Below are 19222 nucleotides of genomic sequence, written 5' to 3'. Positions count from 1 at the left end.
GCCGCACCCCGCCCCCGGCACCGCCTCCCAGCGCCCAGGACCCGGCAGCTGCCGCAGCGAGCATTTCCATTGGCTTAGGCGCTCCCCACTAGAACTCGAGTGATTGGTTCTGGAATAGGAGTGAGAGAAGCAGTGTCCAATGACAATGGTGCCTCCTACTTTGAAGGCGGGGCGTGAGGGGTGGCAGCGTGAGGTGGGGGCTGTGCGCGCAGGGAGGAGCGTAAAAGTTGACAGCCTTGAGGTAAGTGCGAGACTAGGAAAGTGGGACTGTGTGTGTCCTGCGCGTGTCCCGACACCCCCAGACACGCAAACGCCCCGCTAGGCAGGTTGCAGGGGCTCCACCCTCCTGGGCCGTCTGTATGACTTGAGACACAGGACACATGAGGCAAACTTTAATTTGCAAGTACACCTGCATCCGGTGGGATGTTTTAGTTAGAACCAGAAGACTGGATCTCTTTTAGTAAGCTGAGTTTTCGTGACCAGTAGCCTTATTAATCAAAAGAACTTCTGGTGATCAGGAGAAATGTCTGGAACCTGCACTGAACAAAGTAAAATACTCTTACAGCCTAACATTTGTAGTTATGCAGTGAAAAGAGATTATCAAGTTCTATGTTCCAAGACAATAACACTGAATAGCAGGGGTCAACAAGGAATTTTATGTCATTACACCATCAGTTAGATATATTAATGAAGGGCGCCCCTGGCTTTTCCGAAGCAGATAGCTTCTTGGGAGGAATAAATACCAGATGTAATGTAATAATCCATTGTGGTAAATTTGTTTTTTATTCTGTAATGAAACTGAAAGCGTACAAAGATTTTGGATGACTATCAAAAACATAAATTTACCCCACAGTAAACCAAGGTTTTAAACCTTAATCGGGAGCAATTAATGTAAGGATCTTCATCAGATAACTTTCATTAATTTTCAAGAGGTTAAAAGAGAAGCACAATGTCAAATTGGTCTGCTCGTGGTGTCTGCCCACACTGACAAGCTTCCTCTGATTTCAGGCACTATATGCAGGGGTCACTTTCACGTACAGGAGCCATCCTTCTTTTCTTCCTTGTGTGTTCAGACGAGAAAGCATACTAGGTTCAGTAAAAAAATTGATGAAACTCAATAAAAATACAAAAATTTCATGCAGTACTTCATCCAAGTAAAACTAGTGATAGTTCCTCAGTTTACCACATATTATAATAAGAGCTAACATTTATTCACCATGTGCCAGCCGCTATTCTAAGAACATTATGTGTGTTAATTCATTCAGTCCTCATATAATCCACAAGGTAGATACTATTATTATCCTTACTGTGGTCTCAGTTGTGGCATAAATAAGCTGTCTTGCCTGAGATCACATAGTTAGTATATGGGGAGCTAAAAATTTCACCCAGACAGACTGGCTCAAGAGTCTGAGGAAGCACTCTGCTATAGTACCTGGCAGCTCAAAGCTGTGGGGTACATAATCTGTAGAGTATTCACAATGGCCCACAAATCTCATCTGTGAGATAAGTTCCCATCAGTTCAAAGGAAATTTTACAAATGAAGACAGACCACTACTTTTTTTTTGTTTTCCAGAATAACATATATTTTAATTATGAATAAAAACTTTACTCTTTCAAATTTTATATAAATGGCCTATCTCATTAATTTAAAAACTGCATTATTTTGTGTGTAAAAAGAATGATAAATGATTTCTTTTCAGTGACTTTTCTCAGAATAGCAAGAACAAAAAATCTGACAGATTAAAAATATGTAAAGCTGGCTAGGTGCGGTGGCTCACGCCTGTAATCCCAGCTCCTTGGGAGGCCAAGGCAGACGGATCACTTGAGCTCAGGATTTTGAAACCAGTCTGGGCAACATGGCAAAACCCCATCTCTACTAAAAATGTAAAAATACTAGCTGGACGCGGTTAGGGAGGCTGAGGTGGGAGGATCACCTGAGCCCAAAAGGCCGGGAGATCAAGGCTGCAGTGAGCCTTGATCACACCACTGCACTCCAGCTTGGGTGACAGAATGACACCCTGTCTCAAAAAAAAAAAAAAAAAAAAAAAAAAGAAGAAGAAGAAGAAAAAAAGTTAAGATTTTTCTTTTACATGCTGGTAAATTTCTGAGTTGTTGCTTTGATTACAGCATAGTTGCATTATAGAAATGTCATCTCTAGCTACTCCTAAATATATTTATGGAACAACTTCAACACATTAGGTTACAATAATTCTAAATTTATTCTAGGTCACAATCACAATGATCAATACCTAATTTGGATCTAAAGCAACATACCTAGTCATATTTTAAGGACTTTCTGTGTTTGTTCAAATCTACCACAGCTGACTTAGACATCTAAAGCAAATCTAAATAACTCACACAGAGAAACAGAGAATTAGTATGATCTTAAAATACTATTTTCAGTTACTAGTAAGTCATTATGACCAATCTAGAAGCTCAGTCGTTTCTCTTTGCTATAGAAACCTTGGTTGTCTCTTAAACCTTTATTCTCACGACGTAAGTACTGATCTTCATATTTAAGGAATACAGGCTTCAAACAAATCAAAGGTGGCCTAAAATAAATTAAACTCAGTGCCTGCTTTCAAATGTCCATTTGTTGAGTTCTTGATAATATTTTATTCTTATTGAGGACAAAGTAAGCTCCAAGGATATATAGAAGCTTTAAGAAAATGTTCTTAGTAAATTGGAAACCCCCTAGAATGAGATGTGGATTGCTAGGCTAGAAGAGCGTTGTTATGCTACTATGCTAGCTATGGGGTAGTTAGGCCTAGTGCCGATTTTCCATACTGGTTGAATGTAAGTGTAACAATCTCTGAAAATCTTATATAAGACTTAATGTTAACAATGACCTCTTACTATGTTGTCCTGTGTAAAGAAGACAAAATTGAAGGCACAATTTGGTGGCATGAGAAATACTTCTGTATCAGTAGCCCCATGCCATGGCTATCTGTGGGACGAGGATCTGCCATTAGCTAATCTGAGGTAGAATTCTGTTCTACTTTCTTCTTAGTGCAAATATGGTAATAGACTACATTTTAGGTTAAATTAAAACTTGGAATCATTGGTTACATGCGATTTATATGCAGCCCTATGTGGAGAGATCATAAGATGAAGAAGCCACAGAGCCCACAGAGCTACCAAAACCTTCCTCTTCTAGCTCCATCTGGGTTTGCCTGGCTGAGCATCCAAGGCCCATCCAAATCTGAGAGGCAGTCCAGGCTGTCAGTATTTGCAATGAGGTCATGGCTGGGAGAGAACACTAAACAGATCTGCACTGATGTTCATCTTAAGCTGATTAAACTCTCTTGTAGATTGATTCCTAATAGCAACAACAACAAAAAAGCCTTGACTGAATTTTTGTCCCTGGCAGATGCTTAAATTAAACTCCTTACTGCTTGTGACAGCCTACGTGCACCTTTGCACTAGGTGTTCCCTCTGCCTGAAAGGTTCTTGCCCAGATATCCACATGGCTTGCTCACTCATTTCCATCAGGTCTTTACTCAAATGTCACCACCTTTATGATGAGAGCTTTCCTGAACACTTTTTTAAAAATTGTAAGCACCCCTCGGCTTTTCCTGCTCTTTATCCTACTCTTTTTGCAGAGTACTTATCAGCAACCAAACCATAATATATTATAATTATTTTTTGTTTTGTCTGTCTAGAATAGAACAGCCATGAAGTGAAGACTTTTTATCAGTTTTATAACTGCTGAATCTCTACAACAGTGCTTAGTATATGGTAGATGATCAATAAATATTTGTTTAATGTTGTTAAGAGTGGCAAATTTTAGCCAGTGTTTATCTTATGAACTAAAACTTGTGCTTTTCCTCAGGAAAAAAAATCTAACAGGTGTATCTCTGCTACAAAAGCCTAGTCGCAGAGTAGAAAAATATCTGATGTGGCTACTGTAAACCACACAGATATTTGTATTGAAGCTGCCATTCAAAAAGATAGAATACCTTGCATTATGGTTGTTAGACCTACTGGCTCCTGGAGGCTCATCAGAGGATGAAAATGGAAAATGGGGGCCAGGCATATTCCCAACTACTGGCAAGGCTGAGGCAGAGGACCGCTTGAGCCCAGTAGTTTGAGGTTACAGTGAGCTATGATTGTGCCACTGCACTACAGCCTGGGTGACAGAGTGGGAACCTATCTCCAAAAGAAGGAAAATAGAATTGGCAATGGAGAAAAGGCATTGAAAAAAAAAGGACAACTGAAATAAACAGAGAAAACTGAAGAGGATCACTTAAGGAGTGACATCTGCTGATTGGTATTTAGTTCTATCTCACTATTAAGAAGAGCTATTCTCAAGAGACCTGTGTAAAGGAACTGAAAATAAATGATAATTAAGTAGACGAGACTATTATATGTAAATAATGAAAACTTTGTTTCTAAAAGAAGTTCAGAAGAAGCAATAGTAATAGATATTTTATTTTTAACTGGTAAGGTCATCCAGAATAAGTGTACAGTTATTTCTCAAAAATAGAAAACAGTAATGAAAACCACTGGTTTTTCAGATTTTCATCGCCATAGCAGCTCCAATTGCCAACTATGATGCCAGTGGCACCTCCAATGCATCTTAAGCTGATGCATAATACTCTCACCATGTAACTAAAAGACTATATTGTATAAAGTCAGCACATTCACAGGTAAAACTTGGGGGCCAAAGGACTATAAATATTCTCTTTCTATGGTGTGACATTCTATTTGTTTTAGTCCCAAATAGAGTGTTCATAATACCTGAAAGCAATAGTAGTCCTATGAAGGGAATATGTTTGATTATCATAATGTTATTTTTTTTTATTGAGAGTTGAAAGTCATTAAAGTATGTCATAGGTTTCTTCCTATGTGGCCAAATCTTATTTTTTGCCACACGAGTAAGTGTGTTGAGGGACTGTTGTTAGGGTGCCGTCAATTCATCAGCAGTGCTGGACTAGAGAAGTTTCTTTTTATTATTTTAAACTTTTTGAAACACAATTTTCAGAGTGCCCTACTCAGCATCTTATTGAAAAGGTCCATATTAATGCCCCTAATAAGGCTAAATGCGGGCTTAGTAGCAACAATACTAGCATCAAGCCATAGCAACTCCTTGTCAGGTTACTTATTGAATGTTTTTGAAGTGTCAGACACTGTTTTACACTCAGTAGGGTTTACCTGTTCTCACACTTTGGTAAAGAGGAGTAAAAAGATATGCCGACAAAGCTAAAGCCATATCTACAGATTTGCCTTATATAAAAAGGATGTAAATAGAGTATTATTGAAGTGAGGGAAAGGAAAGCTCACTTGAGAAAAGGCTTCAGGAAGAAGAGTATGAAGAAGTCATGTAGGTAGGAATGCACAAAACCAGGCAGAAGATGATTGAACAGTTTGCCTTTGGCTGATGGTTAATGGAAGATAAGTCTTAGCCTGTTGATGACGGGTCATGACGGCCCTTGGTTGCCAGGTAAGGTTTGCACTTTATTGGATATGCAGTGAGGAGCTGTTGAAGATTCTTGAATGGGTGGAGAGAACATGAGTGGAGCTGTGCTTTATGAAGATTAATGCAAGAATAGCTTAAAGCATTGAATTAGAGATTGATGGTTGGAAGACGATGTAGAAGGTTTAGAGGATACTCCACATTAGTTTAGGTGGCATGAGTCAGGGGAATGACAAAGGACATGGAGAGTGAAATAAGGTGAAAGTCATGCTCCTTCTCAGCTGATGATCATGTGGACTTTGAAAAGAGAACGCCAGACAGTTCTGAAGATTCAAGCTTGGATGCCTGAGAAGATAGTCATGGCTTTAACACAAACAAGGCAGCTAAGGGAAGGAGGAGGTTTGGTGAAAAGATAATGAGTTCAGCTATAAATAAAATAACCAGAGAATATCCAAATAGAGACAGCTTTTAAACGACAGTGAAGTTGAGAAGACAAGAGATATAGATTTGGGGGCTATCCATGTCCATATGGTAGCTGAAGCCATGGTCACAAAGGAGAAAAGCATAGAAATGAAAAGAAGGTGAAAAACAAAATTGTGAAAATTTATACGTGAGTCATGGAGGGATAAGTAAAAAACAAAACAAAACAACAACAACAAAAAAAAAATGAAAGAAAACAATACTAGAAAAGAAGGCAGGGCAGAAGTACTCCTTAAAATAGAGTTCAGGGTCTCAGAAAATAAGTTTGGTAGCTGCTTCGTGGGTCATCTGACAAACTAATATCCCTCTTCTCTGAGAACCAATCCTCCCCCAACACATAGAGGGTTTGGGCCTGACAGCTATGTATGTCCCAAATAACCTTGCCCCTCTGGCCATGGTTGATTTCACCCGAGTTCAACAACTGACTAAAGCTGGGCCAATTAAATTTTCTCCTTTGGGAATCTGAAATTAAGAAATAAAATATTTTTCTATAAAGAATTGTGCATAGAGTGGCCATTTTCTGTCATGGGCACAGAGAAGCAGAGGAAACCTGCCTTCTGAGAGAAAAGAATGAAGTGACTTACAGAAAGAAGGAGAAATCACACCAGGTGACCAGAAAGAGGGAGAGAGTCTGAGAGGAAGTTCACTTTCCCATGATGATTATTTTGTTTCTTATGCATTTTATTCAATCCTCCAAAACCACCCCAACTCCAGACCCATTCCTGCTGATACATCTCCACTACAGTCCCACCATCAAATCTATGATTTTTTCAACATTTGGATCAATTTCTTTTTCCTTTCTGTACAGGTAATACATGTTCTCCTTTCCTATCGAAAGCCATCTCCTCCACTTCTGATTTAAATTCTGACCCTCTTGTCTCTCAGGGACTTCATTTCTGCAGTTATTATCTCCATCTTCTTCATCATCAAATTATTGATTTTTCCCAGTAATGTTTGAACATGCTGTTATGCCAACATTTACTTTAAAAGGCAAAACAAAGATTCTTCTGCCATCCCTTTCCATCTATGGTCCAAATTCTTTGATCTTGTCACAGCAACAGTTCTTGACAGAGATGTCTACATGTTACTTCTGATATCCTATTTAATCCTATTAATCTACTATTTTCCTGTTTAGTCTATTCCAATCTGGCTTCATGCCACTGAAAACTGCTAATCAATATCAACTGCCTCCATATTGCCAGACCCAGTGGATATTTCTGGGACCTCTTCCTTTTCCAGCTTTTAGCAGTTTTCCACATTGCTGGTCAGGCTCAGTTCTTTAAAAAAATCTCTTCTATAGGAGTCTGGGACACTGTACTCACCTGTTCTGTTTCCTACTTCTCTAACCACTACTGCTCAGTGCTCTTCAGGTTCTTCCTCCTCTAGTTCCCTCTAAAAATTGGCCTCTATTCTCTGCTTGCTTCTGTATAAACTCACCTTCTTGGTAATCTTAGACATTCCCATGGCTTTAAATACTGCAAAATGCTGGCAACTCCTAAATGAAACTCTCCAGCCCAGACATTTCCTCCAAGATTCATATTTGTATATTCAGTTGCCTGCTTGATACGTCAAGTACCCATGAATACTTGAAGTGAATGTGTCTAAAATGGGCCTAAAATCTTAATTTCCATATTCCTGCTTTCTCTTAACCTCTGAGAAAATTGTCCCCATTTTTTCCCCATTTCAGCAAATGGTTTCACCATCTATCCAGTTATTCCAAACAATTAACCTAGACAATATTTTTGATTTCTCATTTTTCTCCCCACCATCGCCCCCTCCAACCCAGCAGCTAGTCCTCTCATTTGTTTTTAATAAATGGATGTCTAATCCATCCACTTCTATCTCTTCTGCTATTACATTAAGTCAAACTACTGTCATCTCTTACCTAATCTATTGCTGCAGCTACTCAACTTGCCTCCCAGCTTCTACTCTTGCCTTCTTTAATTTAGTTTCTACTTATTAGTCAGGGTAAACTTGGAAATATGTTGAGCCACATTTCCTGCTTAAAAATGTTCAGTGTCGGGTGGGCGCGGTGGCTCACGCCTGTAATCCCAGCATTTTGGGAGGCCAAGGCAGGTGGATCACAAGGTCAAGAGATCGAGACCATCCTGGCCAACATGGTGAAACCCCGTCTCTACTAAAAATACAAAAATTAGTTGGGCATGGTGGCACGTGCCTATAGTCCAGCTACTCGGGAGGCTGAGGCAGGAGAATCGCTTGAACCAGGGAGGTGGAGGTTGCAGTGAGCCGAGATCATGCCACTGCCCTCCAGCCTGGCAACAGATTGAGACTTCATCTCAAAAAAAAAAAAAGGTTTGGTGTCTTCCAATAACTTTGCAATGAAATCCAAATTCCTTAAAATAGCTTAAAAGGCCTGACCTGGCCTGACTACTTTTGCTCTACTCTTCTCCTCCCCTTTTCAGTTCCAGCCACAATGCCTCCTTTCACTTCCCCTGAAACGCTCCTGCATGGCCTGCATACAGGTGTCTCCTCAGCCTAAATCACTTCTACCTCCCTGCTCCTCAATTCCCTTGAAATGCCATGTCTTAGAATGTCCTTCCTGAGTCCTCACCCATCACTAATAACCTATAATAATCTATCATTAAGTCAGTTTTTTCCATCTATTTTGCTCATTAAATGTTGTCAATACACATTTGTTTACCTCCTAATGGCAAGTCTTTCCTACTAGATTGTAAAGTCTCTAGAGGCAGCGACCTTGTTTGTCTCTTCTGTTCACTACTTGATCACTTAACACCTATGTAGTTCCTAGGATATACCACGTGTTCAATAATTACTTGTTATAACTTTACTTGTTGCTGATGGCTTCATCATTCATTATTCCAGTCCTTGTACAGTCCTACTATACTTTCTGTGGGAGAGTTTCCTATAGTCTTGTACTCAGATCCCTTTTGTCATGTCAATAATTTGAGTAGGTTTCTGCTGTTATATCAAATGACCACTAATTGATGCAGCTTTTAAAAGGACAAGGTGATCAGCAATGTCACATGCTGCTGAATGGGAAAGCAGGTTAAGAGCTAAGCAAAAAGCACTGGATCTCATCACTGATCATCTTCAAGCCAATAGTGTCCATAAAATATGGCCCAATCGAAGCCAGATTACAACTAAGTTAGCAAGATGGGTACGAAGGTAGATGCATCAATGCAGAATATTCCTTTTAAGAGTGTAACAATTAAAATAAGGCATGATATAAAATGGGATCTTGGGGTTGAGCAGAGCCAAAGAAAGTACATGTTAGTCTAGTTTAAAAGAAAAGACAGGCCAGGTGCGGTGGCTCACGCCTGTAATCCCAACACTTTGGGGGGGCAAGGCGGGCAGATCATCTGAGGTCGGGAGTTTGAGACCAGCCTGACCAACATGGAGAAACCCGATCTCTACTAAAAATACAAAAGTAGCCGGGCGTGGTGGCCCATGCTGTAATCCCAGCTACTTGGGAGGCTGAGTCAGGAGAATCACTTGAACCCGGGAGGCGGAGATTGTGGTTAGCCAAGATCACACCATTGGACTCTGTCTCAAAAAAAAAGAAAAAAGAAAAGAGAAAATATTCCTATCGATATACCCATAAGCCAAAGAAGCCGAAGGAGAAAAACATCAAGAAGCGTTTGAATGGGGAGGAAGATTAATAGATTTAGTTTCCATTAGCATTAAAGGATTTGATCAAGAGCACAACATTGACAAAAAGGCACAATGTTTCCCCTTCTACTACAGGAAGGAAGGAGGATAAGAGGTCAAAAGTAAGACAGAGTTTTGGATCGAGCAAAGGGAGGTTGAGTGTGGCCACTTCAGAAGGTAGCAAAGTCATCTACAAACCAATTGTCAAGGAGAAGATCAGAATCTCTTGAAAGACTTTTCTGAACCATACTTCCAACCCTTCATTCCATCCCTTACCTCCCTGCCCAAGACTTGTTTTCCACTACCACCATAGCAGACACTCACTGCTACAAAAGGCCACAGTGGCTGATGAAGTGTGCCTTACTTCTTAGATGGCGCTATGGTTTGAATGTTTGTCCTTTCCAAAACTCACGTTGAACTTTTTTTTCTTTCTTTCTGCCCCCACCCCCTCATGTTGAAATTTAATTGTCATTGTAATAGTATTAAGAGGTGGCACCTTTAAGTGGTGATTAGGTAATGAGGACTCTGCCCTTATGAATGGATTATTGGCATTATCATGGGAGTGGGTTCACTATTGCAGGTGGGGGTTCACCCCCCTTATTCATTCTCTCTCTCTCTCTCTTTCTTTTTGCTCTTCCAGCATGTGACACCTTCTGCCATGAGATGATGCTACAAGAAGAACCTCACCGACTGCTGGCACCTTGATACTGGACTTCACAGCCTCCAGAATTGTGAGCCAGTAAGTTTCTGTTCATTATAAATTACCCAGTCTGTGGTATCATTATAAATTACCCAGCCCATGGTATTCTGTTACAGCAGCACAAAACAAATTAATACAGGTAGGGTGGAGTAGAAAACAGTGCAATCAGTGGAGAGCAAGATAGTCAGAAGTGAATATAGGGTTGAAGAGCTCTGGCATCATGAGGAATACGAAAAGGAAACAAAACTGTATTTTCCACATGTGTCAGATCATCAGGCATATCTGGGTCCCTTGCTAAAAACACAGATTTCAGTCCCCTTTCCTGGAGAGTCTAATTCAGCTGGTCTGCTGGTGGGAGGGTTAGGACTGTATAATTTTTAACAAGTTCCTCAGGTGATCTTTATGATCAGGCAAATTTGCGCAACAGTAGATATGAAATAAATGAAAGTTTACCAAGTATAATTTCAGGCCCAAAATATTATCTCCATTTTCAGCCAAATACATAGAAACATTGATACCTGACATCAATTCATGGAAATTACCAAAAGAAAACACCTTTTAAAATTCTACCTGTAGAATTTTTTTTAAAAAATCTAAGAGGTCTACTCATTTTACATGATTGGTATCTAATTCTATGGTTCCAAATAATCTACAGTGGTGTTTAAATATATAAGACTAGGTTATAGATTTTTTTTATTATAGCAAATTTCATTGAGGAAAAGGGAAATGGACCTGACTAGCTAACAGTTATTATGTATAATATAATAATGAGTCAGATATTTTAAAGCCTGTTCTGCTTCTGGTTTGCTTAGCTCCCAGATTAATAAACTAACATAGTAAAATATAAGAATGCAACTTGATCTTATCCATTCCTAACATATTTAAACAAAATCTTGAGCACACTAGCAGTACAGCAGCTGAGAATAGATACGGGTCCTTGAAAAATTTATTTCCATTTCCTCCTAGAAAAAGTGATTTGTATTGATACACAATAGTCGCAGCCCAAACTGCTTTCTGGGAACACAAAGCCCCTCTAATTTGTACCAGTTTTTCTCCATTCTAGTTGATCCTGACCATCAGGTATAAATTAGTGCTAAATCAATATTAGCCGATACTTCCCCAGGTGTGGGAAGTGAGGAAACCTGATCACATGAACAAACACAACCCTTCCTGGCTACATTTAAAATAAGGTGGTTATTATTATACCATGCGGGAAAAAGAATTTTTTTGTTGTTTGTTTTTTAATCAATCTTATGCCATCTCAATTTGTATTAACTTGATATAGTGATATCAGTCATCAGTTAGAATCCATTTTTAGTTATAGATTCCCTATCAACCTTCACACTTTTTTTCATTCTTTCATGGGGCCTCCTCTTCCCCTTCCAACTTCTTCTCACCCCCAGCCATGCCATGTATCTTGCCCCACACCCTTTTTCATTTCTAGCACTACTTACTTAAGTGGTTGAGTGGAGGAGCCCAGGGGAGCAGGTTTACATACCTGCTTTAATTGCTCACCTTGGGCGGAGCAGTGTCCTAAATAAACTTTAGTTTTGCCACAGCATCATTACTCAACAAAGTATTTTCACAAGTGTCACTTAATAATACAAAAATAAATAAGGCACTTAAACTTGTTATTGAGGAAAGAAGCTTTAGCTGCCCACTTTCCGTACTCAGGGTCCAATCTTGCTTCACTTGTTCTTAGAAAACTCTTCAGGAGTTTTCTTTAAAGAAAATCAGTTAGAGCATAAGTGCTGTGAGCCAGGTCTAAGTAGCTTTACCCTTGAAAGGATTAGTTCCTTTGTTAATTATCAATAACAAGGAATTTTGTCATTTTTCTCAATACCTTCCAGTCGTAACTATTCATAGTGTAACTATGTACTCAATGGTTTCATAAATATCAAAACATATATGTGTAGTACTTAGTCACAGATGGGAAGAGAAACAAATGTTCCAAATTCCAAGGAAATGATGTGACTCTGCATGATTTTTTCCCAATTTCCTGGGTTTTATAGAAACTTCACAGAACTTTTAAAAGCGCTTTCAGATCTATGACTTTTTTGTATCACCACAACAATTCTGTGACGTTAGAACATGTATGCTGTCTCCATTTGACAGATGGGGAAATGGAGGCCCACAACCTTGGCTGGGGTCACAGATAGCACATGAGAGACTAGAAGTAGAAGCCAGGTCTTCTGATTCCTTCACTATAAAAATTGGGTGACTTTTTTCCCCAGTGTTTTTTCTTCACTATAAAAATTCCCTCTGTAGCAAGAGCCAGGGATGTAATTGAGAGGCATGGTTCTTTTCCACGTTGGTCTCTGAAAGACCTGTGAGCTAATAGTATATGCAAGAGAGGACACTTACTGGCTAAGAGATTGATTACCTACATTCAAGGCAACCCGATGATGCACCCTGATAAGAGAAGGGCCTGTCTAAAGGTCCTAATTTGTTTTAAATATCCAGAGTTCCTGATAGGAAGGCAGGGTGTGGTAATTATATATCTAACTTTTGGCTAATTGTCTCCATATCCTCACCTTCACAGATGTCTTTCAAACATTGATAATTACAGCTTTCAGACCCAAAGCCTACAAATTCATAATCCATACAGATGACATACTAAAATCTACTCAAACTTGTAAGTCTGAAGACAATTTCAGCACTATTGGACTTACATTAGGAGAAAACTGCTTAAAAAGAGGTACCCTTTATTTCTATGTCATAGCTATACTTTACCACATAGATGTGTCATGGTTTCACCTTGATCTAGGGAAGTGCACATAAATTCATTTGCCTCTAAATGTAATCAAAATTAACAAAACAAGTAACAAAAAAGAAAGAGTGTATGGATAACACCATAGAAGTAAAACTGACTCAAATTAATGAAAGCAACTTGAAACAATGAAGGAGCTGCTTCTAAGTAAGATAAAGAATCAGAACCAAGAAATAAGTACAGCACAGAAAAGCAGTCATCCTTGTCATGATGGCCTACAAGTACAACCCGAGTTATTTACTTATATCATAGAACTTACATCATAAGTTCTTTTTAAGAATTCAAGCCAAGCATTGTGGCTCACACCTGTAATCCCAACAACTTGGGAGGCTGAGGCAGGAGGGATCGCTTGAGACAAGAAGTTTGAGACCAGCCTGGGCAACATATTAAGATCCTGTGTCTAAAAAAATAATTTAAAAATCTGCCAAGCATGGTGGTGCATGGCTATAGTCCCAGCTATTTGGGAGCCTGAGGCAGAATGATCACTTGAGTCCAGGAGTTTGAGGCTGCAATGAGCTATGATAGTGCCACTGCACTCCAGCCTGAGTGAGATCCCATGTCTGCAAAAAAACAAAATGAAAAGAAAGAAAGAAAGAAAGAAAGAAAGAAAGAAAGAAAGAAAGAAAGAAAGAAAGAAAAGAAAGAAAGAAAAAGAGAAGTTAAGAGAGAAAGAAAGAAATTAAAATAAGAATCCAGCAAGTTCTTGCTATAGTGGCATCAACATAACAATAAATAAGGTGTACTCTTACAACTTACACCACAATCTCTATCACCACCCAGAGCAATTATAATAAATCCTGCCTAATTTGGGGTCCCACAATTTAATAAAGAATTATGAATGTAGACGCTAGAAAAAGTCAAATGATTTAGCTTTATTTAGTTTGCAGAAGAAGTTCAAGAAGGGGTTAGTCATGGCCTTCAGGTATATTTAGTGCCATAGATATTGGTGTTTGGGGATTTTTCGTCATAGAAAGAATGTAAGGAAATTAGTTAAAGATTTAAGAGGAACAGGGTAAATAAAAGCATATGTTCAGCATTCACACTGCTATGCACTCTATGTATTTTATCTCATGGAATCTTCCCAGATACCCTGCAAGACTGATAGAAACCAAGAATGAGGAGGTAGAAAAGTCAAGGTCAAAGTCAAAGGTCAAAGTCCTTTACCTGGTATTTGGTCTTAGGGTCTGTTTACTTCCAGAGTCTGTGCTACAGGACCAAGTCACTGTAATGCTACATTGGGCAGTGTTATGAAATCTTCTGCTCTCATTAAATTCAAGAATAGTTTCTAGAGACATATATCTAGGATAGTGATATAGTCCTATCTGAAAAATAGAAAAATGGACTATATTCCTCTGAGGCCACCTTCAGCCCTGCAATTTTAGATTAAAATTGAGATCAATAGAGCTTTAGTCCAAGGCTTTTACTGGGCACATTTTTTTAATCATTAAAGATCTGAGGCCTATAGCATGAGTAAGACTTTAGCTATTTATATTTAAAGTTTCCTCCACCTACTTAAATATCCAACATTAAGAAATTAGTCTAATAGAGTATATCCATATAATGGAATTTTGTGTTATTGTTAGAATTATGTGGAAGAAATTTTAATGACATAACAAAATGCCAATGATATATTATCAAGTGAATTTGAAAAACCAGAAAAACCAAACTCAACTGTAAAGTATGTTTCTAATTGAATATAAATATATATTTACATATGCATATATAAAAACAACCAAGAGAACACATGCCAAAACATTAATAGTGGTTCCCTGTGGTTACTGGGATAAAGGGTGACTTATTTTCATCTCTGGGCTTCTTTACATTTTTCTAAACTGAACATGTCTACATATATTACTAGAAAGAATGCTTTGCACATACCACACATGTAAAATAATTTTCTGCAAAGGTTTTAAAATTGAGAATAGAATAACATTGTATTAGGAATGGAATTTTGTATAGAGTGAGGAAAAATTTATTAAATAGCATAGAGCCCATTGTTAGCAGCAAACTGTCACTCTGTCCAACACTAGAAATAAAATTAGCTTTTCTTATAATTTCTTTCTTTTTTTGAGATAGGGTCTCACTCTGTTGCCCATGCTGGAGTGCAGTGTCACAATCATGGCTCATTTCAACCTCTCTCTCTCAGGCTCAGGTGACCCTCCCACCCCAGCCACCTGAGTAGCTGGGACAACAGGCATGCACCACCACACACCTGGCTAACTTTTGTATTTTTTGTAGAGCTGGAATTTTGCCATGTTGCCCAAGCTGGCCTTGAACTCCCGACCTCAGGCAATCCTCCTGACTCAGCCTCCCAAAGTGCTGGGATTACAGGTGTGAGCCACCACATCTGGCCATAATTTCTTATTATGCTAAACTATCATATACAACTACCAGAATTCTTTTAGCTCTTGCCTAAAACCCTCTACTCAGAAGGCACACAGAAGACACACAGCTAAGCACATGATACTATGTGTATAAAATGAAGATAATAATCATACCTGGCTCATGGGGTTCTTAAATCTTAAGATGTAAATAAAATAATACTTTTAAAGCTAGGCCTAGCTCAGTGCCTGGAACATAGTAAGCACTCAATAAATGTTATCTTGGTAGTTATGTTCTTATTGTTAGCTAAAGAACAGAAAAATTCTGCAAAAAAAATGGTTGTTGATCTAAGAATTTCCTATCAGCCACCTGGCACACATACTTCATTTTAAAATAGTCTTGTAGTTAATGTAGATGGCATCTAAAGGAATCTTTGACACATTGTAATTATATAGCTCATTTCATTCTCCATACTTATCAAGGTTTTCTTTATTTATTTATTTATTTTCAAGGTTTTAATGAGTAATGAAAACAGCAAATGAAGCCATAATATAATTCAATTTTTTAAAATCATTTTTCCTATGTTTATATTACCAAAAATGTTTGCAATATCAATAAAATGTTAGAACTTTGTAATTACAATGTTATTTGAATTTTTATTTTTATGTAATTATTTATTGGATTTGTCTCTCTGAAGATAATTTTTTATTTTTATTTGTGATTAAAAGCAGCTTTGAATTTAGCTATGTCCTTTACTATAATGCAAAGAAAAAGCACATCTACGTTCTTTGCAAATATCATTGTCCATTTGGACATGCGCGCGCGCGCACACACACACACACACACACACACACACACACACACACAGACTTGTCTCAATATATTTTATTTTCTATTTTTTTGAGACAGAGTCTCACTCTGTCACCTAGGCTGAAATGCGTTGGCATGATCTTTGCTCATTGCCATTTCCGCCTCCCAGGCTCAGGTGATCCTCCCATCTCAGCCTCCCTAGTAGCTGGGACCACAGATGCACACCACCATACTTGGCTAATTTTTTGTATTTTGGGTAGAGATGGGGTTTTACTATGTCGCCCAGGCTGATCTCAAACTCCTTAGCTCAAGTGATCTGTCTGCCTTGGCCTTCCAAAGTGTTAGGATTACAGGCATGAGCCACAGCACCTGACCTCAACATACTAAATCTACGTTTGGTGAAATTGGAATGGCTAAATGTCCCACGTTTTTTAAGGGAAATCATCTTAGTAGGGGGTCACATTGCTTGCTGAGGACACATTAACCTGATGATTTCAAAGAATATGGTTTGGGTCTGGCATCACATTTCAAGATCAAAAATACAAACCTCAGTTACCTAGTAAGTGTAAGATCTACAATTATAACTGATAAGAAAGTGGTTCAGAAATATGAGTAGGATTTTAAACATTTAAACTTGGACTTGTCTCCCACTCTAAGAAAAGAACTGTTTTTATGGGGGGAGCAAAAAAACCCAGATGACTTAATGGCAAATGTTTTCCTAAACTGCAGAATAAGGGTGTCTTCTGCCAAAAGTAGTCATTTCAGAAATGCTGTTAGGGACTATACCTCACATATCAACTCTGCTCCTTTGTATCTCATTCTTAGACCATCTTCTCAGAAGCCCTTGTATGTTTCCCTCTAGGACCATTCCTAATTAATGCCTTCTGTATTCCACCTCCTTTAAGGCTAGTCAAGCTTTTTCTGCTTTTTCAGGAAAAAGTTTGTTCTGGGTTATGTCAAGCCTTGCCCAGCCTCATTGATATGGTTTGGATCTGTGTCCCCACCAAATCTCATGTCAAACTGTAAATGTCAGAGGTGAGGCCTGGTGGGAGGTGATTGGATAAGGGGGCAATTTCTCATGGTTTAACACCATTCCCCTTGGTGCTGTCATTGTGATAGCGAAGTCTCATAATATTTGGTTGTTTAGAAGTGTGTGGCAGCTGGGCACAGTGGCTCACGCCTGTAATCCCAGGACTTTGGGAGACCAAGGTGGGCGGATCACCTGAGGTCAGGAAATCGAGACCAGCCTGGCCAACATGGTGAAGCCCCATCTCTACTAAAAATTAGCTGGGCGTAGTGGCGAGTGCCTGTAATCCCAGCTACTCAGAAGGCTGAGACAGGAGAATCTCTTAAATCTGGGAGGCAGAGGTTGCAGTGAGCCAAGATCGTCCCATTGCACTCCAGCCTGGGCAACAAGAGCAAAACTCCATCTCAAAAAAAAAAAAAAAAAAGTGTGTGGCACCTCCCCGCTATCTCTCTTTTCCTTCTGCTCTGGCCATGTGAAGTGCTTGCTTGCCCTTTGCTTTCTGCCATGATTGTAAGTTTCCTGAGGCCTCTCCAGAAGCTGAGCAGATGCCAGCATCATGCTTCCTGTACAGCCTGTGAAACTGTGAGCCAATTAAACCTCTTTTCTTTATAAATTACCCGATCTTCAGTTCTTTATAGCAATGCAAGAATGGACTAATACACTCATCTAGCTTGTTTTCCAGCTAACAGGTTTATTTTTGGCCCAAGGAAGCAGGACACTGGGGAAGAGGGGGAGGAGCTCAGAGGTGGCTCAATAAACCATAATCATTTAGTACATAGCTGGGTAAACTGATTCCACCGATGATGATAGGGTCCCATACTTTCTTGCGTAAGCTCAGTGTGATTCTTTAACTTAATCAAAATTTCACATTTTAAACATTTATTTTATGTTTCTTTCTGTTTCTATCACATGCTTTACAGATAATCCACTTTAAAGCAAGAAAACAAGATAATTCAAGGTAAAAATTCAAAGGGGAAAGGATGGGAGTCTATGAAAAGTTGTTGCCTTACCTTCTCCCACTTAGAGCTAATTTATATTTGACCAAGTAGCGGTTCCATGTATATATTCCAGGTAGCAGATTACTCTTGTGGATAAATAGGGGATATCTCTTTCTCTTCCCTAGGGAAAAATGTATGACTCTAAATTTGGAAACCAGACAGGATCTGCTAATACGGGGCAGAATGTTAAAAAGAGGATGAATTTTGATTTCAGAAAATTTAGAAGAAAATGGATTTCTCAGGCAACTGAAAGAACATATTTGGATCTGTTAAGATGAAAGGAGACTTCAAGAGAACTGGACTTTGTGTTGGACAGGCTGTCTGTGACAGGGAAAAAACCCCTTCTGAATGATTAGGGATGAATCAGTTAACTTGCTTGAGTTTCACATTCTTCATCTGTAAAATCTGGTGATTAGACTGGCCCAGCAAAAGATATAATGGGCAAAAGATATAATACACATAAATTGGAATGAATCTGCATTTTCCAAGCCTGATGACTTTATTAAAACTGAATTAAGTCACTAACTGGCAGCCTGAAGATGAAAGGAAAGAACTCAGTCATGCTTCTTAAGGTAAAAGGGCAGTCTAACTGAGAATTTTGTTATCTCTGAGGACAAATTACAAGGAGATAAAGACACTCAAGATCACATGGAAGGCTTCTGCTCCCACTTAGAGACTGCAATGTAAGGTATGGAAACAGAATATTCTCTATAGAAACATACATATTAAAATATGAACATTTTTGTTCTTATTTCAATCCAAAAATAAATAAATGAATTAAATGTCAAAGATATCCATTCTAATTTGGAACTTCTCTGTTCATAACCTATTATGCAGTGGGCGCTAAAAATCTGTTCATGGTATATGACTGAATATTGTCTATGAAATGTGTAGGTGTTAAACAAATGCCACGGTTTATTTATTATAAGAAACTTTTTTACATTTTAACATCTCTGAAATGTGGATAACACTTTATTTTATTTTACTTTATTTATTTTCGAGATGGAGTTTCGCTCTTGTTGCCCAGGCTGGAGTGCAACGGCAAGATCTTGGCTCACTGCAACCTCCG

At 38.7% G+C, this 19222-nt stretch overlaps 1 long non-coding RNA gene across 1 annotated transcript, besides 2 other annotated features; it reads left to right on the top strand.

Annotated features, from left to right (window-relative positions):
• Nucleotides 17–166: a silencer, noted in NCBI's record as "silent region_17966". NCBI's record gives its function as "represses an Ori minimal core promoter by ATAC-STARR-seq in GM12878 lymphoblastoid cells {active_cell/tissue: GM12878}" and the evidence as "EXISTENCE:reporter gene assay evidence [ECO:0000049][PMID:35858748]".
• On the top strand, nt 33–18946 carry GLCCI1-DT (GLCCI1 divergent transcript). The gene is made up of 5 exons (NR_110018.1): nt 33–241; nt 10167–10265; nt 12769–12924; nt 18076–18113; nt 18279–18946. It is a non-coding gene; the product is annotated as a GLCCI1 divergent transcript (long non-coding RNA).
• Nucleotides 8453–8582: an enhancer, noted in NCBI's record as "active region_25652". NCBI's record gives its function as "activates an Ori minimal core promoter by ATAC-STARR-seq in GM12878 lymphoblastoid cells {active_cell/tissue: GM12878}" and the evidence as "EXISTENCE:reporter gene assay evidence [ECO:0000049][PMID:35858748]".
• Nucleotides 18947–19222: the final 276 nt, after the last annotated feature.

Source organism: Homo sapiens, chromosome 7, assembly GCF_000001405.40.
Source record: "Homo sapiens chromosome 7, GRCh38.p14 Primary Assembly".
Lineage (NCBI taxonomy): Eukaryota > Metazoa > Chordata > Mammalia > Primates > Hominidae > Homo > Homo sapiens.
This window is presented reverse-complemented; position numbering and strand designations above follow the sequence as displayed.